The sequence below is a fragment of the Homo sapiens genome, chromosome 6 (genome assembly GCF_000001405.40).
Source record: "Homo sapiens chromosome 6, GRCh38.p14 Primary Assembly".
Lineage (NCBI taxonomy): Eukaryota > Metazoa > Chordata > Mammalia > Primates > Hominidae > Homo > Homo sapiens.
Window position 1 is genome coordinate 95,656,764 of NC_000006.12, and position 27,650 is coordinate 95,684,413.

At 37.0% G+C, this 27,650-nt stretch overlaps 1 long non-coding RNA gene across 1 annotated transcript; it reads left to right on the forward strand.

Annotated features, from left to right (window-relative positions):
* Window positions 1-6,692: 6,692 nt before the first annotated feature.
* LOC107986543 (uncharacterized) lies at window positions 6,693-26,865 on the forward strand. Its single transcript, XR_001743886.1, has 3 exons — window positions 6,693-6,765; window positions 8,144-8,216; window positions 26,452-26,865. It is a non-coding gene; the product is annotated as an uncharacterized LOC107986543 (long non-coding RNA).
* The last annotated feature ends 785 nt before the right edge of the window (window positions 26,866-27,650 follow it).

Genomic DNA, 27,650 nt, shown 5'->3' on the forward strand with positions numbered 1-27,650 from the left:
GATGCTCCAAGAACATTAACTCCCACACCCTAGAAGTTTTTCTTAGCCATTTTTAATGATCATGTGATCAGAGTCAGTTTCCTCAGGGGCTGTACTGAAGGAGGAATTTTAAATTGTTCCTTTCTACATGAAATAAGCAAAAAGTATCCATTCCCACTCTCCTTCCTCCCTGCCTACATGCCCTGCCTAGCAGAGTCCCTAATTTTTCAAATGATTGGCAGAGATACAGGCACCTCTCATCTCATTAAATAAAGCTATGTTATCTTCTTTACATTTATTTTATTTATTTTCTTTTTTTATTTTTTAATCCATCCTGCATAATTGCTAATGCTTATTGAGTGCTTGTTGTTCTGGACCGGTTCTGCGCATTTAATCTTCACACAGTGTTATGAAGTTGGTCCTTTTATCATTTTCATTTTACTGAGGCACAGTGAGGTCAAGTCTTTTGTCACTATAGTGAGCAGTGGAGAGATTATTCAAAGCCAGACAGTCTGACTTCAAAGCCCATGCTTCCCCTACAATGCTATACTGTTTCTTGTTAGTTTATTGAGCGAAATGGATTGAATATTACTGTTATGGGATAAGCATTACAGACATAGTAATGCATGCAAAAGAGAAAGTCCCTGTTTTCATTGGCCTGGTTGGGGGAGAAGAGGGAAGTACAGAGACTAGGAAAGCTGATAATAAACAGATAAGTAATAAAACAATAAACAACGTCATAATGTAAAAAGTGCTATGAAAGAAATTATTGAGTATAGTTCTACTAGATATGGTGGTCAGGGAAGAATTATCTTAAGAAAGTAACACTGAGCTGTTACTTAAAGAATAATACTGACTCAGACATGCAAAAAGATAGGAGAAGAGCATTCCAGATACAGGGAGAAGTCCTGGAAATAAAAAGGGTTTTCAGTGTTAAAGAATGTCAGGTTGTGTGACTAGTGGAGTAATCAGAGTGAGAATGCTGTGAAAGGTGGGAGTGGCAAGTAAATGTCAGATCATGCAGGGCTGTGAGTTCAGGGTAAAGAGGGAAACTGATTCTGACATGGCCTTGTTTTAAGCAGGGTTATGACATGATCTGATATATATTTAAAAATTATTTTGGCTACTGTGTGTGGGAGATTTATTTCAAGAAAATCAAATGAGAAAAGGGGCAACCATAACTTACAAATTTTTTAAATGAAAGGTATTAAGTTTGGGGGGATTTGGGAAACTTGATTAACCAATTGATAAATAGGATATTTTTGCTAGGAACTATTCATTAGCATTGCCGAATATTATAAAACAAGACAAAGGGAAATGATGTGGTTGATTAAGATAATGTTTTTTATTTCTATAATAATCTGATTATTTTCTAAGTTATTTTCTTTGTCCTGATATCTCACAGACACGGGATCAGATGATCTTCCCAAGATGCTTAGGCTCCATAAATTCATAAAATCCCTGAAAATTCTCCATAAATCTATGGCTATAATTTTCCAGAAAAGATGCTTCCCAAAACCCAGGTGGACACAGTTTGCATCCTTTCTGAGAATTTAGTTTTAAACAATTTGAATTTGATTTGTCTCACTGACCAACTATTTATTGTGCACGTTTAAAAAAAAAAGTATCAAGTTTTTAGACAACACCCATATGTATTGGCTATACCATCTACTTTTAAGTAATTTTAAATATATATCTTCCTCCAGAAAATGATTGAAAACCTATAATATGAAAAACATTGTGATAATATTGTGGTCATCAAAATGAATAGCACACAATTTCCACTTTAAACAATTTTATAGCCAAGTACAAAGAGGCATAATAAAAATAACATAAAATACCTACTGCAATAGATAAGAAAAAAGAAGTGATTGCTTTCCATTGAGATCATCAGGGAGAATGTCATAGTAAAAGTATCCATCTTGAAATAAAGTCCAAGCTGTACCTTCTAATAGGCAGGTAGATTATTTTCAGAAATATTTTCAGGGAAGAGGAGTGTCATACCAGTCAGAGGGAAACAGGGAAGAAGGGAAAGCCAATTCCAGAGTACATTCTTGAAATGATCACTGCTGATGGCAAGTTGACTGGATTCTGCCTGGATCTTGTGGAGTCATGAATACTGTGTCCCAGAACTGCCGGTTTGAGGGACAAAATAAATCAGAACTTAATAAGAACTCTTTTTCATTAATCAATTATTGCCCACTGGTGCATTAACTCCTTCGTACTTCCAGGTTGCACATGAGCGAGTGAACAAATTGGTTACTTCAGGTGTTCTGTGTCAGAGAAGCTTGCACAGAAAGTATAAGACAGCTGGTGCAGCTAAGGGAGGTGCTATCAGGTTCCATCTGTGTGAAGCTAGTTGCCATGGCAATGGCTGAAGTAAAAGGTGGGCTAAGAGCATGTGAGGGGACAGGAGGAGGGGGGCAAACTATTCTTAACACAGAAAACCTTAACAGGTGGGAACATTTGAGCTAGATCTCAGAGATGTATCAGGATTTTTATCCACAAAGATTAACAAGAAGAAGTAAGATAAGAAAATTATTTAGAAATATATTGCAGGCATAGATAATCTAATAAGAATGTGGATTTGAGAGAGCACAGAGTGCATCGAAGTGTCAGTATTGGTAGGCAAGAACATAGTGTATTAGTAAGAGCATTATGACAGATAAGAGTGGATATATCTTTTGGGTTGAAGAAGGATCTTAATGGTGGACTCTGGAATGGACCATTGTTGTCCAGTGGTTGGAAGTCACTGACCTGGTCTGACTACATGCTAACCCACGGGTTTGGGAGACCACTATAAAAATAATTTACATTCTTTTAGCAGAGAACTAGTTCCCTGCAGAAAGCTGTTATAGTTTTAAAATATATCCACAAATTCTTTAATAGTACTCCCTTCAAGAGGTGTAGCTTAATTCCATGTCTGTTAACTGTGAGCTGGACTTAGTAACTTGCCTCTGACACATAGAATACAGTAAGGAGTTACAGCCAGTGACAATTCTAAGACTAGGTCATACAAAGTATGCAGCTTCTCTATGTTATCTTTCTCCTAATGCTATAAGGACATTCTATACGTCTTATGGCACATATAGAGAAGCTCATATGGTAAGGAATCAAGACCTCTGACAAACAACCGGTGAGGAACTGAGGCTTTTTGCAAAAAGCCATGTGAATGAGCTTGGCAGTGGATCTTCCAGCTCCAGCAAAGCCTTCAGGTTACAAGGTCCCAGGCTGAAATCTTGATTGCAACCTCATGAATAACTCTGAGCCAAAACCACTCCATGGGCTACTCCCCAATTCTTGATTTACAGAAGTGCTGTGATAACAAAAGTTTTTGTTTTAAGCAGTAAATTTTGGGGTAATTTTTTACACAACCCTTGGTAACTAATACAGAAAAAGTACTGGACAGAAAAATGTATAACTGGTTTAAATTATAAGTGCCTAATTTAGGGCAAAAATGATGGACAGAGAGGAAATAGATATGCACGAGAGACTAAAGGAGCCTAATGTGTGAAGAGTAACAAAAGAAAGGAAGACAATTCGAGAGCACAGGCATTAACAGAATTCTACCACACCACTCAATAAAATTGAGTGTTAACATTTCATTTTTTCATCATAGTGAATCATCCATCCCAGAGTTACATGCTCTTGAAGGTAGCTCATGTTACACAAAGGAGTCAATTCCAGATTTGGTCTAGAGAATACATGGATAACAGCATAATGATAACATGTGAGCCATTGCTTGTCTGAGTCTCTTAATTCAAAATAAGTTAGTGGAAATTCCAGAATAAATAAGTAGATAACTTATATGATTTTGACGTGTTCCTACTCAAATCTCATCTTGAATCGTAGTTCCCATAATCCCCACATGTCAAGGGTGAGACCAGGTGAAGATAATTGAATCAAGGGGATGGTTTCCCCTATATTGTTCTTGTAATAGTGAGTGAGTTCTCACGTGATTGTGTTGTTTTATAAGGTGCTTCCCCCTTTGCTCTGCACTTCTCCTTTTCTCTCCTGCTGCCAAGTGAAGAAGGATGTGTTTGCTTCCCCTTCTGCCATGACTGCAAGTTTCCTCAGGCCTCCCCCAAACATGCTGAACTGTGAGTCAATTAAACCTCTTTCCTTTATAAATTATCCAGTCTTAGATGTTTCTTCACAGCAGCATGAGAACGGACTAATACCATAACAAATATCAAGCTCAAATTGATTTCATCCTAATTCTAAACCTTCTTGCTTAACTGTAATGCAGCCAATATCTTAACATCTATTAATGTGCCTTTTTCTTTTCCAGTAATGTGTTCATTTTAGTCTCGATAGTCAACTAGAAGCAAGGCATCCCTTTGGGTTTGTCCACTTAGACTAACAGTTGATGCAGCAGGAATGAAAAGGAAATAAAAGAGTTAACACCATATTCAGTTAGTGATATTCAAAAGATAATTTTGCTGAAAAATTATCTAGATATCTAAGCTTCTCTAGCCACTTGTTATTTTCCAAAATTTTTTAGCGTATGAAGAAATAAGCCTAATAGACTCCAGCCGTAGTTTTTCTTTCACAATTCAGAGAAGATATTCCATCCGCCTATGATAATTAGGTCATATACATCTTGCTCTCTTAGGGTACATTAGATCAGGTAGTTTCAAATCCAAAGCTCCATTCTCTTCTTTCTATTTGAGAGCCAAATTTTAAGGGGAAAGTTTTGAGGAACATTCAGATTCATAAATTAGAGCTTGAGAACATTGTGGCAAGTGGCATAGTTGCTTGGTAATCGTGTGATGGAAGCTGCCAACCCCTGGGTAAATTCTAAGGATTCAATGTGCCAGCATGGTATAAAAGTACTGGTCATTTTAATAATAGCTATTATGACTAGGGTGAGATGGTATCTTATTATGGTTTTGATTTGCATTTCTTTAATGATTAGTGATGTTGAACATTTTTTCATGTCTATTGGCTGCATATGTCTTCTTTTGAGAAGTGTCTGCTCATATTCTTTGCCCATTTTTTAAATTGGGATTGTTTGTTTTTTTCTTTGTTGGTTTGTTTAAGTTCCTTACAGATAGCAGATGTTGGCAAGGTTGTAGAGAAAAGGGAACATTTTTACACTACTGGTGTAAATATAAATTAGTTCAGGTACTGTGGAAAGCAGTTTGGAAATTTTTGAAAAAACTTAAAATAGAACTACCATTTGACCCAGCAATCCCATTCCACTGGGTATACACCCAAAGGAATATAAATCATTCTACCAAAAAGATACATGCATTCATATGTTCATCTCAGCACTACTCACAATACCAAAGACATGGAATCAACCTAGATGTCCAACAATAATGGACTGGATAAAGAAAATGTGAGGACAAAGAGGGGAACAATGGACACTGGGACCTTTTTGAGGGTGGAGGATGGGAGGAGGGTGAAGGCCCTCGGCTGATGTGAGATTGCAGAAATCATTGCCCTTTCTCAAAATGGAAGGATGGAAATCTGCAATAAAATCTTTTTATCTAAAGAAATAAAATTACCTAAAGCATAGCTTAATGTTATTGACTCAAAATAAGATTATTGAATTAGGTAAATTTAGTTTTCTTTTTTTCAGCTACCCAGTGGGGTAGGGCTTCTGGGGAAAAACTGATCAGATACAGAGTAAAGAATCTGTGCACTCTTTATTCTGCTGAACTGAAGTGGAGGTAAGTTAGTGACCCTGTTGAGTATGTTTATCTCCTGTGGATGTGACTTATGTACTAAATTTTTCTGATTCCAGGAAAACATACATAAAATCTGTTTATCTGTTATATGTTTTAGTTACATTGTTTTGTAATAGAATGAGACTAGGTGACGGGGAAGCCACATAATTTTTGATCTTGGATCCTACTACCATAATTGTGTAAACACATCCTTAGTAAGTTTTCAGACTTACTGACAGTGTTGTGATTTTTTACACTTTAGTGTGTTTATATTACAGGAACATAAGAGGCAATTTTTCTTATTGGGTGATGGCTCTATTTTTTTTTGGTTTAAAATGTGCTTTTATGAGTGAATAGCTTTATTTACCACCTTCTGAATGCATATTCACGAAGATAATTTATTTTTATTACAAAATTTTCATGTGTTAAGGCCTTTCATATTTTCAGTTAGCTTTGCATTTTCTGAGCCATAAGATATATCAACTTTAATCCTTTCTTATCTTTCTTTTTTAGTTTTTTAAGTAGCTATTAAGGGATTTTTTTAAAAACAAATTAACTTTCCTAAGGCTGTATATATTCAGCCTATTAGAATTTGCATCAAAAGTTTATAATGAAAACCATTCAAATAATTCAATGATGAAGCATTTTTACAGAATTAAAATAACTACTTAGTTCCTGATAAGACTTATTACATGAGCAGGAGCACTAAGAAAGGCAGAAAAAAACTATGTAAATAAATAGGTGATTCCTGTTGTAAATGTCAGTTGCCTGATCTTACCACCCTTTCTACCCCAAAGTAATTAAATTTAACTACTTTTCTGTATTTACCAAAACCTTGAAACCTACAATGTTAACATTATTTCGTCTGTTATTTCTCCAGCATTCCACCAAACACTTCTCTGAATACAATTTCCCTGTTTTCAACCTCCCACTCATTCCTTTCTACTAAACCTATTACCACCATCATTACTTTTACATACTTCTTTTAAATCCTCCCTATATTATTACTGTTCTCATTCACTTGCTTTACCACTAAGCCAGAGCTTCACTGCTTTTCATTTTTTGAAGATGGCTTTGCGACCTACTTTAATATGAAGGCTCAAACTAACTGGTAAGAGCTTATTCAATTTTTCCTCTCTACACTTAAAATAAATCCTGCTAGCTAAGTCTCCCTTTCCTCTTTCCTTCTTAATCCAACTCCTTTCAACCTCCGTCACAAAATTTTCCATCAGCTATATCTATTTTGTCTTGTATCATCAACACTGTTTCAACTGAAAATGCTTAGATCTTTGCACTTGAGAAGAAAAAACTAATCCTTTCAATCTTGTCATCCCTTCAAATTACTACATATATGTCTTCATCTCCCATTCGCTCACCCAATCCTAAACCCGTTACATTCTGTCTTCTATCCATACCACATTAATACAGGATTTTGCGTATGAATTTCATAGCACATGTTTTATGTTTTTAGTTTCTTTCTCCTTGTTCTGTTTATAAGCAACTGTAGATATTTTTCATTATGCCTTTCTTGAAATACTTTTCTTCCTTACTTCTCTCTTACCACCCTTCCTCTATGTTGGCTGGCTCAGCTTTGATTTTACTTATTTGCATGTCAAATTTACTTCTGAATTTTATTTCAAGCTTTCTTTTACTCCCATAATGTCAACCCCTTCACTGATTACTTTCCAAGGTGTCTATAACCACCTCAAAGCAAATGACTTTAAAATCCATATATTCAATTCTAACAGCTCACATAAAATATATGCCACATTTTTTCTAACATCAACTGTACAATTCCAACTTGGTACTTGATATCGTTGGAATGTTTGTCCCCTCCAGATCTCATGTTGAGATGTAATCCCCAGTGTTGGAGGTGGGGCCTGGTGGGAGGTTTTTTTGTCATGGGGGTAGATCCCTCATGTCTTAGTGCTGTCCTCACCGTATTGAGTGAGTTCTCACAAGATCTGGCCATTTAAAAGTGTGTGGTACCTCTCCCACACTCTCTCTTGGTCCTGCTCTACCATGGGAGACACCTGCTCCCCTTTTGCCTTTGCCATGATTACAATCTTCATGAGGCCTCCCCAGAAGCCAAGCAGATAACAGTGCCATGCTTTCTGTAAAGCCTGCAGAACTGTGAGCCAATTAAACCTCTTTTTATTAAAAAATTACCCAGTCTTAGGTACTTCTTTATAGCAGCAGAAGAACAGCCTAATACAGTACTATACCAGTACTTCCAATTCAGCATATGCAAAATTAGACATATCTCTACACATTCAAGTCATTACATACTTTTTGTATCCTTTCTATTGTACTCATTCCTTGTTCTATGTTCTACCCTGGAAACTCCAGTCTTTAGTTTATCCATCTACAGTATCTCTCAGTCCCTTTCCTTCTTTCTCCATGTTGCTGTTGCTAGAGTTCTGGTTATACTTACTAATGGAAAATTTTGAACTCTAACAGTATTTAAATTCTCTTTTTCCCCTTTCGAGGAAAGAAAGCCTCATAGGCGTCACAGTGAAGAACATTTTGAGGCCATGATGCTGAGGAATAAGAGCTTTTGTGGTGAGTATAAAAATGATTCAAAACTCTTGCTGTTACAAAATTTGTCCTTTTCTCTCTGGATTTGTTTGTGTGTTTATCCTATTTTTGTTTATTCTCTTTCCTCCTCCTTTTGTCCTTGCTTCTGTCTCTCTCTTCCTTCCTCATTCCCTCTTTTCTTTTTTTGTGTTTTGAGGTAATATCTCTGATTCCTTTTTAGTAAAACTTACCCTCACTCTCACACCAAACTTTAAAAAGCAAAATAGATCTCCTTGAAGAGGTCCTTCACATCCCTTGTAAGTTGGATTCCTAGGTATTTTATTCTCTTTGAAGCAATTGTGAATGGGAGTTCACTCATGATTTGGCTCTCTGTTTGTCTGTTATTGGTGTATAAGAATGCTTGTGATTTTTGTACATTGATTTTGTATCCTGAGACTTTGCTGAAGTTGCTTATCAGCTTAAGGAGATTTTGGGCTGAGACAATGGGGTTTTCTAGATATACAATCATGTCGTCTGCAAACAGGGACAATTTGACTTCCTCTTTTCCTAATTGAATACCCTTTATTTCCTTCTCCTGCCTAATTGCCCTGGCCAGAACTTCCAACACTATGTTGAATAGGAGTGGTGAGAGAGGTCATCCCTGTCTTGTGCCAGTTTTCAAAGGGAATGCTTCCAGTTTTTGCCCATTCAGTATGATATTGGCTGTGGGTTTGTCATAGATAGCTCTTATTATTTTGAAATACGTCCCATCAATACCTAATTTATTGAGAGTTTTTAGCATGAAGGGTTGTTGAATTTTGTCAAAGGTTTTTCTGCATCTATTGAGATAATCATGTGGTTTTTGTCTTTGGCTCTGTTTATATGCTGGATTACATTTATTGATTTGCGTATATTGAACCAGCCTTGCATCCCAGGGATGAAGCCCACTTGATCATGGTGGATAAGCTTTTTGATGTGCTGCTGGATTCGTTTTGCCAGTATTTTATTGAGGATTTTTGCATCAATGTTCATCAAGGATATTGGTCTAAAATTCTCTTTTTTGGTTGTGTCTCTGCCCGGCTTTGGTATCAGAATGATGCTGGCCTCATAAAATGAGTTAGGGAGGATTCCCTCTTTTTCTATTGATTGGAATAGTTTCAGAAGGAATGGTACCAGTTCCTCTTCATACTGCTCAAGGAAATAAAAGAGGATACAAACAAATGGAAGAAAATTCCAAGCTCATGGGTAGGAAGAATCAATATCGTGAAAATGGCCATACTGCCCAAGGTAATTTACAGATTCAATGCCATCCCCATCAAGCTACCAATGATTTTCTTCACAGAATTGGAAAAAACTACTTTAAAGTTCATATGGAACCAAAAAAGAGCCCGCATCGCCAAGTCAATCCTAAGCCAAAAGAACAAAGCTGGAGGCATCACACTACCTGACTTCAAACTATACTACAAGGCTACAGTAACCAAAACAGCATGGTACTGGTACCAAAACAGAGATATAGATCAATGGAACAGAACAGAGCCCTCAGAAATAATGCCACATATCTACAACTATCTGATCTTTGACAAACCTGAGAAAAACAAGCAATGGGGAAAGGATTCCCTATTTAATAAATGGTGCTGGGATAACTGGCTAGCCATATGTAGAAAGCTGAAACTGGATCCCTTCCTTACACCTTATACAAAAATCAATTCAAGATGGATTAAAGATTTAAACATTAGACCTAAAACCATAAAAACCCTAGAAGAAAACCTAGGCATTACCATTCAGGACATAGGCATGGGCAAGTACTTCATGTCCAAAACACCAAAAGCAATGGCAACAAAAGACAAAATTGACAAATGGGATCTAATTAAACTAAAGAGCTTCTGCACAGCAAAAGAAACTACCATCAGAGTGAACAAGCAACCTACAAAATGGGAGAAAATTTTCGCAACCTACTCATCTGACAAAGGGCTAATATCCAGAATCTACAATGAACTCAAACAAATTTACAAGAAAAAAACAAACAACCCCATCAAAAAGTGGGCGAAGGACATGAACAGACACTTCTCAAAAGAAGACATTTATGCAGCCAAAAAACACATGAAAAAATGCTCATCATCACTGGCCATCAGAGAAATGCAAATCAAAACCACAATGAGATACCATCTCACACCAGTTAGAATGGCGATCATTAAAAAGTCAGGAAACAACAGGTGCTGGAGAGGATGTGGAGAAATAGGAACACTTTTACACTGTTGGTGGGACTGTAAACTAGTTCAATCATTGTGGAAGTCAGTGTGGCGATTCCTCAGGGATCTAGAACTGGAAATACCATTTGACCCAGCCATCCCATTACTGGGTATATACCCAAATGACTATAAATCATGCTGCTATAAAGACACATGCACACGTATGTTTATTGCGGCATTATTCACAATAGCAAAGACTTGGAACCAACCCAAATGTCCAACAATGATAGACTAGATTAAGAAAATGTGGCACATATACACCATGGAATACTATGCAGCCATAAAAAAGGATGAGTTCATGTCCTTTGTAGCGACATGGATGAAATTGGAAATCATCATTCTCAGTAAACTATTGCAAGAACAAAAAACCAAACACCGCATATTCTCACTCATAGGTGGGAATTGAACAATGAGATCACATGGACACAGGAAGGGGAATATCACACTCTGGGGACTGTGGTGGGGTGGGGGGAGGGGGGAGGGATAGCATTGGGAGATATACCTAATGCTAGATGACAAGTTAGTGGGTGCAGCGCACCAGCATGGCACATGTATACATATGTAACTAACCTGCACAATGTGCACATGTACCCTGAAACTTAAAGTATAATAAAAAAAAAAAAAAGAAAAACAAAAAAGAAAAACAAAACAAAACAAAAAAAAAATAAAAAGCAAAATAGAAATGAACAAGAGGGAGTTCATGAAGAGAAGGGATATGGTCTAGGTTGCATAAAGTCTATCTAGTATAAAATAGTCTTATATGGGAGATTGCGGCCAAATTCCAGCTAGTACTAAAGAATGATTTCTCTTTTCTCTTTCTTCTGTTTATCTTTTTTGGGGTCTAGCAGAAGGCCCATTCATGGTGAGAAGTGGAGAATATAAGGATCATAATCTCTTTCACTGATTGTGACTTCCAGAGAATCCTTTGTTTCTTTAATTTATGAAACTCATCATACTTGCAATTATTTGGTTAATGTCATTATTTCCTGGCAGAAAGTAAATTTGGGAAAGCCAAAGTTCCATTTTTAGTTGCTTTTTTTAATTGCATATCTCCTAATGCTGGCCATTATGCATGACATAAAGAAGATAATAAATGTTGTGTAAGTGAATGAATGGATAGACGGATGACCAATAGTGTTTGTCTCTCACTTGATTTACTATAATATCCACCATTTCCTTTAGATACCAAGTTTCTATTGGTATGGCTCCCAGATTCATCCCCTAAAGTACTGATTTCGTTATGTCCCTTCATCGTCATTGATAGGATAGATACAGATTCAGCATGCTAGTCGAGATTTGTCACTCTTTGGCCTTAACCTTTCTTCACAACCCAATTTACTCCTACTAGCCTAGCCTTATCCAGTGCTTCCTCTAAACTTGTTTACTGTTTTTTCAATAAAACTACTCTCCAACCATTCCCTTCTTCTCACTGCTGTTCCTGCTATCGAGAATGCAGCCATTTGAAATCATCTTCATTTTTCAGAGTCTTACTCAACTGTTAAACTCAGTAAGAAATCTGCACTGATTTATTCCAATTTCAGTTTGCTTAATTTTTCTCAAAAAATTAGCATACCTTCACTTGTTTTATAATTTTCTATGTCTTTTGGATCTCATAAAATCCTGTTATGTGAACAAATAGAAATTGTGTTTCTCATTTATCTCTTCCCAGATTATAAGATTTGTAAAGCTGTTGTCTATAGTTCCTTTATTCTTATTTCCACTTTGAATTATTTTAGACCTGGGAAACACTCGAGAATGTAGTAACTGAAAGAATGAATTTAGTAAAGACTCCATTATCAAAAATGCCCCAGAGATCCTCCTGGTTCAAGAGTGATCCTCCCACCTCACTCTCCCAAGTAGCTGGGAATACAGGTGCAAACCCTCACACTTGGCTAATCTTTTAATTTTTTGTAGAGAAGAGGTCTTTCCATATTGCTTTGACTGGTCTAAAATCCCTGGCCTCAAGTAGTCCTACTTCAGCCTTTTCAGTTGCTAGTATTAGAAGCCTGAGCCTCACCCTCCTTTAAGCTGTGAGAATTTTTGTTAATATTTCAAGGAAGCTTTCCTACCTCCATGATAATTGTTTTCAAGGCCTCTTAGAGTCTTATCACATGTGACAGCTTTATGGTTAAATGCTCAGTGATAATCCTCTCCGCAAATTCTGGTGGTCTCTCTCTGTGTTTGACCCCTTCAATTCTGCCCTGTACACTTCAGCTACCTTAGCTTCCCTGATCTCTGATTGCTGAGTCACTAACTGAGCAAGAATGCCATCCTTATATGTGTTTCTTCTCCTTATTTTCTACTCAGCAATGTGCATCCAGGCAGAAAGCCGGCACAATTATACGTATATTTGCTACTTTCTTTATGGGCAAATATTCCACCTCAATCTATTGTCTAACATCTGAACACAGTTGCTTCATAAATGTTTTCCATTTATCTAGCTTTTTGGGGGTTTTTGTTGTTTTTGTTGTTGTTGTTTGTAGGAAGAATAATTTGGTACCAGTAATTCCATCATGCCCAGAAATGGAATTACTCAGATACAATTTTTATTCACACTTTACAGATGAGAAACCTGAGGCTCAGATAATTAAATAATTTGCCTCAAGTTACATAGATATTGAATGCAGAGCCTAAATTCAAACATTAATCTCTTTGACATGAAACCTATTATCAATCCATGGTACTGAGAGGTGACAATGTGCTGGCGGCCCTCGCTTGCTCTTGGCACCTTCTTGGACTTGGCGCCCACTCTGGCTGTGCTTGAGGAGCCCTTAACAGCCGGCCGCTGCACTGTGGGAGCCCCTCTCTGGGCTGGCCGAGGCCGGAGCCGGCTCCCTCAGCTTGTGGGGAGGTGTGGACAGAGAGGCGCGGGCGGGAACCAGGGCTGCGCACGGTGCTTGCGGGCCAGCGCCGAGTTCCGAGTGGGCGTGGGCTCAGCAGCGGGCACTCAGAGCAGCCATCCAACGCCCCCAGCCCTGGGCAGTGAGGAGCTTAGCACCCAGACCAGCAGCTGTGGAGGGTGCACTGGGTTCCCCAGCAGTGCCTGCCTGCCGGTACTGTGCTGGAATTCTCGTGGGGCCTCAGCTGCCTCCCTGTGGGGCTGGGCTCTGGACCTGCAGCCTGCCATACCTGAGACTCCTCCCCGACCCCATGGGCTCCTGCTCGGCCGGAGCCTCCCCGACTAGCGCCACCCCCTGCTCCACGGTGCCCGGTCCCATCGACGGCCCAAGGGCTGAGGAGTGTGGGCTCAGGGCACGGGACTGGTGGGCAGCTCCGCCTGGGCCATGGTGCAGGATCCACTAGGTGAAGCCAGCTGGGCTCCTGAGTCTAGTGGGGACTTGGAGAACTTTTATGTCTAGCTAAGGGATTGTAGATACACCACTCAGCACTCTGTGTCTGCCTCAAGGTTTGTAAATGCACCAATCAGCACTCTGTGTCTAGCTCAAGGTTTGTGAATGCACCAATCAGCACTCTGTATCTGGCTAATAAGGTGGGGACTTGGAGAACCTTTATGTCTAGCTAAGGGATTGTAAATACACCAGTCAGCACTCTGTGTCTAGCTCAAGGTTTATAAATACACCAATCAGCATGCTGTGTCTAGCTCAAGGTTTGTAAATGCACCAATCAGTGCTCTGTGTCTAGCTAATCTTAGTGGGGACTTGGAGAACTTTTGTGTCTAGCTCAGGGATTGTAAAGGCACCAATCAGCACCCTGTCAAAATGGACCAATCAGCTCTCTGTAAAACAGACCAATCAGCTCTCTGTAAAATGGGCCGATCAGGAGGGTGTGGGTGGGGACAGATAAGGGAATAAAAGCAGGCTGCAGGAGCCAGCAGTGGCAACTCACTGGGATCCCCTTCCGCAGTGTGGAAGCTTTGTTCTTTCGCTGTTTGTAATAAATCTTGCTGCTGCTCACTCTTTGGGTCCGCACTGCCTTTATGAGCTGTAACACTCACCACGAAGGTCTGCAGCTTCACTCCTGAGCTAGCCAGACCAAGAACCCATCAGAAGGAAGAAACTTCGAACACATCCGAACATCAGAAGGAACAAACTCGGGACGTGCCGCCTTTAAGAACTGTTAACACTCTCCTGGAGGGTCTGCGGCTTCCTTCTTTAACTCAGTGATACCAAGAACCCACCAATTCCGGACACAGTACTACACCTTTTCTCATGAACAAATAGGACTTTTCAGATTCACGGTCTATGGAACCTCAATATTAACTGTAGTAGCCGTGATAGTAGTAATAGCAATAGCAATAAGAAAATGGAAAATTTAATATGGCAATAATAATTTACAATTTACAAAGTAATTTTATGCATTTATCATTGAGTCTCATGAGCCTTCCAAATTTCCTCACTTTCTGCTTGTTCTTACTACTGCCCCACCTGTGCTCAGGAAAACTCTGTAACTTTTACTGTTTCCAAGAGAAGGTGCACACTCCCACATTAACGTGACACTTAGTTCCGCGACTGCTACGTGAGATGGGAGGGAGATCACTCTTTGGCAGAAAAGGAGATTCACTACTTGGCAGAAAAGTAGATTCCTGTATTTCTTAAGGGTAGAAATACTGTAGCTTAGATCAAAACAATCTGATTTTAGCGTACTTGATGGCTTCTGAAAGCTGACGTATAGCATGGTGGATTTTACAGACTTACAGAATTTTGTTTTAAAAGATGGTTTATTTGTGCTTTTCTCCTAGTTGGTTCAATAATCACATTATTGAATTTAAAAAAAAGCTGAAATAATATAAAATAGGAAAGTATCCAAGGCTTTGGTGATTTGAGATTATGCCCATAGAATCAAACGTTGAGCATTCTAGATCCAGAAATCTAGGGTAGAATTGTATTAACATGAAGCTGTAACGAATATGAAAATTACTGTTCCATTTTGTGTTTTAAATTACGTTATTTTAAAGCTTCTCAATCACATACATTGTATCATCCAAACACATCATTCTTTTGACATTACTGTTTCTAAAGGAAAACAACAGAAAAAGAGAACACTAAAATATCAGTAATGTAAGTAGTAAAGCAAAATATTATCATATTGGCTGAACAGACAATGATTATTTTAAAATGCAGGCCTTTGAAGGGAGAAGGTATATTAAACTTAAATTTCTGTTCTAGTCACAAAAGACCACAATGATTGCTCTTACTGTTCTCTTGTTGACCTTTAGTTTATAATATAATATGTCCCTTAAGATAAGCCTTATTAATCTTCCTTTTCTTTTGTGAATGCAACATAATTAAAAAAAATTTGTGGCCTCCTGGCTGGGAGTGGTGGCTCATGCCTGTAATCCCAGCACTTTGGGAGGCCGAGGTGGGAGGATCATGAGATCAGGAGTTCGAAACCAGCCTAACCAACATGGTGAAACCCTGTTTCTACTAAAAATACAAAAATTAGCTGGGCATGGTGGCACATACCTGTAATCCCAGCTACTCAGGAGGCTGAGTCAGGAGAATTGCTTGAACCCAGGAGGTGGAGGTTGCAGTGAGGCGAGATTGTACCACTGCACTCTAGCCTGGGTGACAGAGAAAGACTCCGTCTCAAAATATATATATATATGGTCTCCAGAAAAGTAAATAAAGCCTTCGTTTTGACCCCTCATAAGAGGCTCTCATTTTGAACCAATTATTACTCTTACTATATAGGTAATTGTGAACCTCTTACATTGCATGGCATATTTTCAGGAATAAAAAGCATGTGAATTTTTCCAGGAAGTGCAATTTTACTACTTACTTTAGGGGGTCCATGTACCCCCCAAATGCTAAGCACTTGGTTCTAATAGTAAGACATGAGGTAATATAAAGGGAAAAACTTTAAGAGTCACAGTTATAGATGCAAATTTCTGGCTTCATAACTTACTAGTTTTATGATCTGACTTTAATATCCTTATGTACTTGAAAATTACATGAAAACCTAGAGCATGGGTTGTAGAAGGGTAAAGATAATCAGTTTTAATATAGGCTCAATTTTCATCTCTCATGCTGCTTTAATTATGGTCGTACTTCACCCATCAGATAGACTTGAATTTTTAGACCATGAACTGACACATCAGCTGAACTGAGCTCACCATAGGACAAATGTGTATGTCACAGAGATATCTTCAAAATACAAACATAGCATAGAAAAAGCATCATAATTATAATGTGGCTAATTGTTTTGTTTGTTAATTTGTTTTTGTTTTGTTTTCTAAAAGGACTCTTCTCATAATTATGAACCTTTAGAAGTCTTATATACTAATGATATCTCCTGGGGTGCATTATAGGAGGGAAATTCCCTCACTGTGGTAGCAGAGCCTGGCTGCATCCTCCCTGTCCTCTTGACAACTTGCATCATGCTTGTGTTGAGAGAGGTGTTGTCTCATTTATTCTATGCTCTCACTTGCTCCTAAACTAACATTTCTGCCATGGTTTTTTTTGTTTGTTTTAACTAATTTAATATTGAAATTGTCAATGTAAGACATCCCAGAAGTCATTATTTTCAGTCCTAAAAGACTATCTTTGCTCTTGTGAAGTCAGGAAGCCAAAGAGCCTCTTGCTGGAACTAATGCTTGTACTAGTTTTAAAAAATTAAAAGAATAAAATGATGCCAAAAAAACACAGATTTATTATGACAAATAAATATAAGGAAAATGAGGAAAGCAATAAGAAGTGAGCCTGTATTTGTTGTAGGACTCTGACTTAGATATAGTCTAGCCCATGTACCATTTTTTAATTTTTTTGTTCATTGTAGCATTCTACAGCTGTATCCATCCTGTCCTTTTTTTTTCTAGATCATTCCCTCCTCTTCCCAGTATGCCCTTGAGTCCATCCTCCTTGTAAAATAGCACTGTCCAAGTTAAGTGATTGCACATGACCAATTGACATTATGGTTTGCACATCATTTTCTGTATTGGAGGAATTTCCATAAAAATCTCAGACTACCTCAGTATGTAAAAAACTTTTTGACATATAAACACACGGTGCTACCACTGTGAAATATAAACACAAGTTGCTACTAATATTTGGGCAACTCTGATTGTCAGTCACTAGAGTGTATCTCTTCATGTAGTATCAAAGGCCAATATTGAAAGAACAGTTAAAATGGAAAACACTGTCCATTTCACCCTAGATTGCTAGAAAAACACCACAGACCGTGTTGCATGAAAATTTTCATTGAATGATGCTGATTTTTCTCTCTTGCATTAATTTCAGTTCCACTTGCCTGGACTGCTTTGATAAAAGCAATAGAAAGCAAAAGCAATGCTAACGCACATCTTTTCTGGAGCATAAAATTTACTGTGCTCTTGAGAACATAATTCTTGAGTAAAGAATATGTTGTAAAAAATAACATCCTGAGCCAAATTAAAAATGCATGTCCTTTTATGTTATGATGAACTAGTTTAATGTTTTTAAAAAATCATGATCCTAATTCTAATGCAATTGTAGACTACAATGCCTTTACTTAGCCCAGTTTAATGGTTATTTAATCTTATTTCTGAAATTCATGTTATCAATATATATTTTAACTACACATAGAAGAACATTTGAATCTAAAGGCTGAATTATATGTCTTTGTACAATGTTAAGCTAATGAATCAAGTAATAATGTTTTTATTTTGGCTAACTCTATTGATATATGGGAAAGTTACCCCAAATGGCATAGGTTGTAGCTATAAGTAATGGTCTATTTTATTTTATTTTTCTTATAAGTATTTGAAGATTTAAATTTTTTTTGAAATATAACTCTGATGAAAATAACCATCATCAAAGAACAGATTTGTTTTGTCTTGTGCATATAATTATGTTTTCAGGTGTTCTATTATTCTTATCCAAATATACTCCTGTATTAGTCTGTCTTCACACTGCTGATAAAGACACTTCTGAGACTGGGAAGAAAAAGAGGTTTAATTGGACTTACAGTTCCACATGGCTGGGGAGGCCTTAGAATCATGGCGGGAGGCAAAAGGCACTTACATGGTGGCGGCAAAAGGCACTTAAATGGTGGCAGCAAAAGAAAATGAGGAAGAAGCAAAAGTGGAAATCCCTGATAAACCCATCACAGCTCATGAGAGTTATTCATTATCACAAGAATAGCATGGGAAAGACTGGCCCTCATGATTCTATTACCTCCCCCTGGGTCCCTTCCATAACACGTGGGAATTTTGGGAGATACAATTCAAGTTGAGATTTGGGTGGGGACACAGCCAAACCATATCAACTTTATAAGTCTCTCTGAATCAGAGGAATGATCTAATTTTGTGTAATAAGTAATAAGCATGCATCTTCTCTTTGAGAAATTAAGAAATAATTTGGTTTCATAAGATTGAAGAGCTATATTCAATGTTGGAGGTAATTTTACATCATTGTTGGAAGAAATTCAATCTGCTCTTTGTTAACAGAAGGCGTATATATTAAAATGGTTGTACACATAAGTCAGAGATACAAATAATAATGTAAAAATTATTATAAACCTTCTTTCATCCTCTTATCCATATAAGTAAATGAGCTCATTTCTATGAAATGTCAGAAGTTTGCTTTATAATTAATTTAAGAGAATGATGTGAAATAGAATAGAAATTTCAAATGATAGTATGCAAAACTTTTGTATCTCTTCCTACTTGCTTTCTATAGGCAGACCTAAAAGTAGAACACTTGATATGCCAGAACTGAAAAGTGGCTTGAAAAACAGTATGTGGCACTGATAGTTTTACAGTAGGAGTGTAACACTCATTTAAAAAGGGAGAAGGTAGATTAAGCATATGTGGTTTTTTCTTTACTTCTGTGAAACAGTCAGAATAACATGTGGTAATTAAGTAGTCAATATTGTACAAATTTTAAAATTAGTGAATTTGTTAATTTGCTCAATGAATATTTTTGAGAAACTGCTACTGTGTGCTGTGTATTTTTCCAGGAGCTACATCTGTGAATGGCAATGTTTGGTTTCTATTCTCAAGTAGCCTACATATTTGTGCTAGGGAACAGTAAAATACAAAGATCATTACCATACAAAGAGTACTTAGTGCTATAAATCAACTAAGAAAAAGGTGACCCAGAGCCATGGCAGGGTCCTGGAGGCAGGGAATAAAATGTGGGATGTGGCTGTCAAATGCAGTCATAAAATCAGAAAAGCTGTGAACACTTGAAAAAGGCAATAAATATTTGAAAATAAATAATTTCCAATAGCAATTAATTTGGATAAGAAGTGAAACAGTCAGTATTAAGGGATAGATGGTAATTGGAGAGTGGCGCTAGGAACTATTTTAGGCCAGAGACTCTGTGAGGTCACTCTTTGACTTGAGATCTGAATGATGAGAAGAAACCATAATATCTGAGGGAAGGGCATATCAGATAGACCTAACAGCTAGTGCAAATGGTCTGAGTCAAAGGAGGAGATTAAGATGTTGTCCAAGAAACAAAAAGAAGGGCAGTAGAACAGTGTGCCTGGAGCAGAGTAAGCTCAGAGGATCTAGTATGACTTGAGCTCATACACATAGGCACAGACTCAAGTATTAATTTATCCTCATAGGCAATGTAAGAATCTTATTTTAATTATAATGAAAAATTTTAAGCTAGAGAATGAATCACATTTGAATTGTTCATTTCTATACCATCATATCTAGAAATAGCCTAGCCACAAAATAAGTATGACAATAAATATTTATTAGTGAGTAACTGATTGTTATGATATCATTTGATATCATATGATATCTTGAAGAGTTACAATTTCTGTATTATGAGGATAGCACTCAGATTCATTACTTTTCTACATGTCATGCTGTCATTATGACATGACAAAAAATGAAATTTTAGAAAACAAAAAATCGTCATCAGACAAGCTAGTGAATAAAATTCAGTTTCTTTTCTATAGCCATAGCTTTTAGCCTGTGATTTGTTTCTAAGTATGAATAATAATAGTGGCCCTAGGATTGCTGTAAAGGAGTACTATCATTTTACAAAATAATATACCCAAAATAATTCAGATTACTGGAATAGATTAGGGACTCTGTGAATATAATAGATCGTGATTAAATTTTCATTTGTTAGAAAATTGAAAGAGCACAAAGATAAGTCTGGTTCATCTTCACATAATATGCTTGGCTAATCTTAGGAGAGCACATTAGACAACAAGAAGCATTCAGAACACTCAGATCTTCTCAAACTTTGTAATCCCTGCATGCAGTGCTGTTCAAAATTGGATTTCTTTGGAATTGTTCTATTCTATTTATGTCAAAACAGGTAATATTTTTCTGGTCCACTAAACTAAACCTCATTTCAACTTTGATGGATATAAAATAGCTCCTTTTATCCACAAAGGATATAGCATATAGTGATTATGATTTGCCCTCAAAGAAGCTTATTTTATTCGTACTGTGGAATGAATACATCTACTCTGCAAGGTTATGGCATGAAAATCTCACTTAGACTCTCTTCTTACCTATACTAAGGAGGATTATTAACAGAAATACTAATAAGTGCAATTACCTGGACTGATAATTGTGAACAATGAGAAATGAGAGAAAGAGAAAAATAAAAAAAAAAAAGCCGTACGTTTGCTCAGTGTTGATGTTATTTGCTTTATCAGGATATACACAAAAGATGAAAGAAGGGATATAAGAAGGCAAGAATAAATTTATGGCAGTGGCAAAATGTAAGACTATGCCAGTTATAATAGCAAATGTTTATTGAGTCTCTGTTGTGTTCCAATTACTATTCTAAGTACCTTATATACATTATTTAATTTAACCTGCACAACAACTCTATGGAAGCTACTGTTATTTTTCTTGCTTTATAGACAAGGAAGCTGAAGCACAGAGAGATTCCATACCTTTCTTACAAACCCCCAGTTAGTAAGTGGGGAAGTCATGTTTGTATGAACAATGTAGTTTTGCCCTACAGCCCAACGTGGCAGCATGAGGAGTGCCACTTGGATCTCTCTTTAAGAAAGATTTGCTCTTTGGCTGCAAAGAGTGAAGTTGGCTGATGGTGTCTAACTCCAACATCTAACTTCTGAATCAAGACTGAGCTCTTTTTGGACTTCCCCAGCCAACGATGAGTGTGGCAGAGGTACCAGAGTCAGGCTGTCCATTGTGGGTCTTCTCTAATGAGCAACTTCGCTTCAAAGCCCCTTTGCCAGAAGAGACTTTGACAGATCTGTATCTTAGTCTAAGACGTTCCTTTTCTTTTTCTTTTTTTTCTGGCTCTGAAGGCTTCTTTTGCATGTCTCCTCTGCACTTTGCTCTGCCGCCATGCCAATAAATTCCTTGCACCTAACTCTATCTCAACAACTGCTTCTCAGAGAGTAGAGACATGATCAGTCCAGACACATGATCATTACTCCCCAAAAGCATAGTATAAACTGAACTTGTGACTTCTTGGTGAAATTAAGAATGTTTACGTATAGTATGTGCCAAACATTGTGCTAAAGCTTTATATTTACACTGGGTGCAGTGGCTCACGCCTGTAATCCCAGCATTTTGGGTGGCCGACATGGGTGGATCACCTGAGGTCAGGAGTTCAAGACCAGCCTGGCTAACATGGCGAAGCCCTGTCTCTACTAAAAACACAAAAATTAGCCAGGTATGGTGGTGTGTGCCTGTAATCCCAGCTACTCAGGAGGCTGAGGCACGAGAATCACTTTAACCTGGGAGGCGTAGGTTGCAGAAAGCCAAGATCGTGCCACTGCACTCCAGCCTGGGTGACAGAGCAAGGATCTGTCTCAAATAATAATAATAATAATAATAGCTTTATATTTACATTATGTGACCCTTTAGTTCTTATTACAAATTTGTGTTATACATTATCTTTTCTTAGAATTACAAACGAAGAAAAGACAGCTTCTAGAAAGTAAGAAATTTGCAGAAACTGATGAATAAAACAATATTATGATTCACACCTATGTCTTCTTGATGCCACAAAACCAACCTATTTCTGTAGAAGACAATTAATACATAGCTTTCTAAAGATACTTATAAAGAGGTAAGAAGAAACGAGCAGACATATTGTTTGGTGAAAATGGTATTATTAGTACAAATGATAGAAGGAAGAATAACCAATGCATCTTTTCTAGAGTAAAGAAAATTATCCCCAAACTAAAAAATGTTAAACAATGTAAAGAAGATGTTGCTGCCTGAGATAGTACGTGAAAGTGGTATGAAGTAGTCCCTAGTTACTTCACATTAATCCAAGTTTCCAGATTCTGAAGAATTATATTCTAGGAAACCGAAGAAGTGTACAAATGTGATCCCAGAGTCACCACCAGAACTATTTTAATTATTCAGGAAGGAAGAAATGTGGGATGCTCAGAAGTAAACAAAAGTCTCAATTTTCAAAAAGAATAAATTTATGGCTACATTAGATATTGACCTCTGGGGGAAAAGTTATAGAATGGATATCAAATAGATTTGTCTTGTATTTTAAATTTTTTTGTAAAGTCTAAATGAAAAGATTAAGAGAAATAAATGGAATACTATAAAATGGCCAGAAATATGCTATTACATATGTTTATATCTATATATACAGATACATTAAGAGATAAATTCCTTTTTCTTCACAAATTGTTTTATAATTTTTCAAAATCTGCAAAGTGAATGGTATAGCCTAGAGTCACTGTAGTCTGCATATTAGCAAGAAGTCACACAGGTAGGGTTTCTTGCTACAATTTTTATTGCTTCCCTGGGTTCTTTCTGACAATTCAGAAGTTAGAAGACTTTGGGAGACCGGTAATGGGACTTACATTGAATCAAACTCAAAATCCAAAGACCCAGTTATATTCAACTATATAAAGAAAAAGTGGCTAGTTAAATTATATTTTTCTTTAGTTGTCAAGTTTTCAAAATGGTTAGGTGAATCAGATTTTTGTTTTCTTTTTTGTTTGTTTGTTTAAAGTCTATAGGGAAATGAGACTTAACGATTTCTGAGTTTAAATTCCCAGCGGTCTTTCTAACTAGTACAGTGAAAAGTTATTTGAGTTTTCTGTAACTGAAATTTTCTTATCTGAAAATCTAAGTTATGCAATTTTCTTATCTGAAAATCTATGTTATGAGTATCTATGGTTACCTGGAGCTGGAAACTTCTCTGCATATATGTATGGAGTCTATTGATGTGTACAATACCGGTGGAGGGAGTTGAGATAGCCATGAGCAGAAGGTGACAGAAATACTGAGAGAAGAAAGCCAAACACAAAAGAATATAGAGTTAGAACTCTATATAAAGTACATAAACAGATAAAACTGGGTTGCTGCTAGCAAATATTTCACCTTTCTGTAAACATCCAGAAAAGCTGATGAAGCTCTGAGCCAGAGCAGATGACTTGGTTGTTAGAAAGGGCTGAGTTTCAGATTTTTCTGGTGCTCCTCACTGTCTATCCTTATGCAGGGTACACCCATCGGTGGAAGTTCTGCATTCTCTTCCAACTATCTTCCTATAAGAAACTAGCCTGTGAGAAGGAACACTGTTTCCCTTGCCTTACAGATATCATCAATGTCTCCTCTTTCACTTCTCCCACATTGTCTTCTTAATGCCAAGTAGATATTTCAAATTCACACACACACACACACAAATGATCAACACATATCAGTGAGAATTTGTGATGGCACAGTGCAACCTGACAGCTGTCATCCCCAAAAGCAGGATGCTATAGGTGGAGGAAGAGAGAATAAATCACAGGGACCCTGGATCTTAGGAGCAAAAAGAGCAGATCACCAGAATGAAAGAATAATAAACAAAAGCAGCCTGGGTGTGGTGGCTCACATCTGTAATCCCAGCACTTTGGGAGGCCAAGGTGGGTGGATCATTTGAGGTCAGGAGCTCGAAATCAGCCTGGTCAACATGGTGAAACCCCACCTCTACTAAAAATACCAAAATTAGCTGGGCATGGTGGCAGGTGCCTGTAGTCCCAGCTACTCGGGAGGCTGAGGTAGGAGAATCACTTGAACCCAGGAGGCAGAGGTTTCAGGGAGCCGAAATCGCACCACTGCACTCCAGCCTGGGCAACAGAGCAAGACTCCATCTCAAAAAACAAAACCAAAAAAAATAATAAAAAAGGTAAATACATCACAGAAATTTAGGATTATGATGTTTACATCAACCTTCTTTCTGACTGATTTATAAAGAGAATTCAGCAATCAACCTAGAGAATAATACATGCAGAACAAAGAGCCTGTGGAGTGAAAATTATTAAATATGGACAAATTTCACCTTTTTAACAATGAGTAAGTACAGAAAAAAGAACATGGAGATTTGAAAAAGTTTAAGTAACTTTTTGAAAAATAAGTAGATTATAAAAATATATGGCCACTACAAAAGAGGAATAGAATAGGATGAAGAAGAAACAAATTAGTTAAGTCTGAAAGTAGATAAGAAAAAAGACAATCCACAAGGAAATTAAAACCACCAGATCCACCTTAGTGATAGTAAGAGTAAAATCAATGTCACAGAATGCTGGATCAGGAAAATAAAGGATACAATTTACCAGCTTTTCATGTATGCAGGAAAAAAGAGCAAAGTAATGAATGTGCTAAGAGAAGAAGATAAAACAAGAGGACAAACAACAGTAAGATAGATGATACTGTAGCAATTTTATTATTGTTTACAACCATTTGCTTCCATTTGCCTTGTAAGAAGATCATACATTTCTGCCACTGCAAGGTAACTTACAATGTAGAACCCACTTTGTATTTTTAAGCCTGGTCAGATGATTACTTGGGACAGGGTGTTCCTGGAACCAAGCTGGTTCCAGCTGAAGGAGAAGCAGACAAACTAGGAAAGAAGGGAATTTATTGCTGTAACCGGATACAGGGAGAAGGCCGGAGATCATTCCACCAGACCAACTCAAAGTGTTACAATTTTCTTAGTGCTTATATAGGTTGGGGTTATGTGCCTAAGTGCAGTATAGCATGCACCTAAGTCTATTGGTAACTAATTTTGTTTCAGCTAGAAGGTCAGAGGCAAACAGTGCTTGCTAAGTCTGATTAAATGGGCCCCAGGACCTTCAAGGCCTGTCTACTGTGATACTGGAGTGATTGTTTCTATCTTATCTCCTTTACAGCTTGGTCTGGAGAGCTGCCTTAGACTCTCCAATGAATCTATTCAAACAGCTGCCTCTGTTACCTTGACTCGTCTCATATTCTGTTGACCCGAGATGGGTTCTGGCACTAGGAATATGACTATCTCTATTATTTTGGCTTGCTCCCCAGGTTAGGGAGAAGCCCATGCAAGGCTCCTACTGACCATATGTTTCATTTTTAACTTTGATGTCCAGGCACTGATTTCCCTAGGTTTAATTATTTGCTCAATGTTAGGGCAGTTCTGTGGAAATCTGTCTGTGCAACTGAAGTGCTATGCAGGCCTGTCGGTGAGACTGTCATGCAGGCTTGTCTGTGTGATTGTCAGGGAGAATTGACCTACCATAAAGGAAACATGGTATTTTACTTCCAAGAGGAATTGCTAAGAGGCATTGCATATTTCTATCATCTTTCTTGCTTTTCTTTCTGCCACAAGAATGACATAGTCTAAAAAGCAGCTGCTCTGACAGCTTGGATTGCAGAATGAGGAAATATATAAAGGAGAACATAAGTGACATACAGCATAAGCAAAATATAAATGTTTGTTGTGTAAGTTACTGAGACTGGGAACCATTTTTTTTTTTTTGCTACAGCAAAGTCAACACAAAAATAAATGTTATTTGGAAGGATGATACAGAATGACTTCAACAGGAAACATAGGCAAGGATAAAATAGACTTCCTCCAGAAAGAAATGGGCATGTAAATAAATACATATAGTTTCCCAAATGAATGCAACTAGAATTGGTGTTAACTTCTCTTCCACAGAACTGTGTGCAAGACAAGGCACAATCTATGGAATTTTGAGAAAATTGGGTGGTGACATTATATATGGCTAAGGCATTTATGTGAGCCTTCTGAAAAGCATTCTAAGGTTTGTGTACATTAAGAAAATGTTAATGGTACTTCTCAAGCTTTTTTATTGCAAGTGTCATAAACACTACTTGGTCTCGAAAAAATAACATTTACTGATTCTCACAATTTCAGACTATTGATGAATGCACTTACAGAAAGAGCAAGGACACGTGATGCAGAAGCAACTGGAATCCAGGAACAGAACTCCTCCAGGTGTCTCCATTCCTTTCTGCGTCTCTCCATGTGTCGTCTTTTCAATGCAGAGAAAGTTGCATATTATTATGCATAAGAAATTTACAGCTTACAAAGCCTTGCAAGAACTCTTGAGACCAGTTGGGAAAGACAGAGAAAGAGAGAGAGAAAAAATTGACTTCTGCTTAAATCGTGTTAAAAAAACAAAATGTAAAACTTAAAACATTTCCAAAGAAGTTCTCCACCAGTTAAATGAGGTAATAATATCTAGGTTAAAAATTCCAAATCATATCATTAAAGGTAGAGACTAAGATTTGAGACAGGCACTTGTGATAAAAGTGTACTAAACTCCTTGAATAAGTTGGGCAAAGTACAGGAAGTAGACAAAAAAAATAATTAATAGAAAATAAGTTTTGAAAATTGTACCTTTTATTACATTATTATTAATTGACAAATAGTGAAAATATGCTAAGCAACTGACTCAGGAAAAAGAATAATAACCTACGCTAATATTATGAAATTAAGACTTATTAAAATAAAATCAGCAATAAATAAGATAAAAATGTAATAGATAAATTAAATATTTGATTTTCTTGAAAAAGAAGATGTGGACAAACTTCTGGGAAACAGAAGTAAAAATACACAGGATTAACTGAAAAAAACAATTAGAGATGGCTGAGAACATTTGAAAATTAGAGAATAACATTCAATTTTCTATAAATACATTTAAAATTTTCTTAAAAGTAGATATTTTTCTACCAAAATACAAATTATGAAGACTAATTTAAACAGATGTAGAGAATCCAAAATGGACCAATGGTGAAGGAAGAAATGAAAAAAAAGACAAAATATTGTCAAGAACCCACACCCACACAAAACTAATCTTATGTTCTTATAGAATATACAAAAGGTGGAGCTCATTTTTATGTAGGCAGTACAATAAAATATGAAACCTAAAAAATATACTCTTGCATAACTCCTCAAAAGAATTCTAGGATAATAGATTTTAAATCTAAGTAGTAAAACTTAAGAAAACAAATGAGTACTCATTCAATATTAAGGCAGAATGGATTTTGTAAACTTGAGCTAATCAGATGAAACTGTGGAGCGTAGTCTGCTTTTACTATGTAAATAGGAAA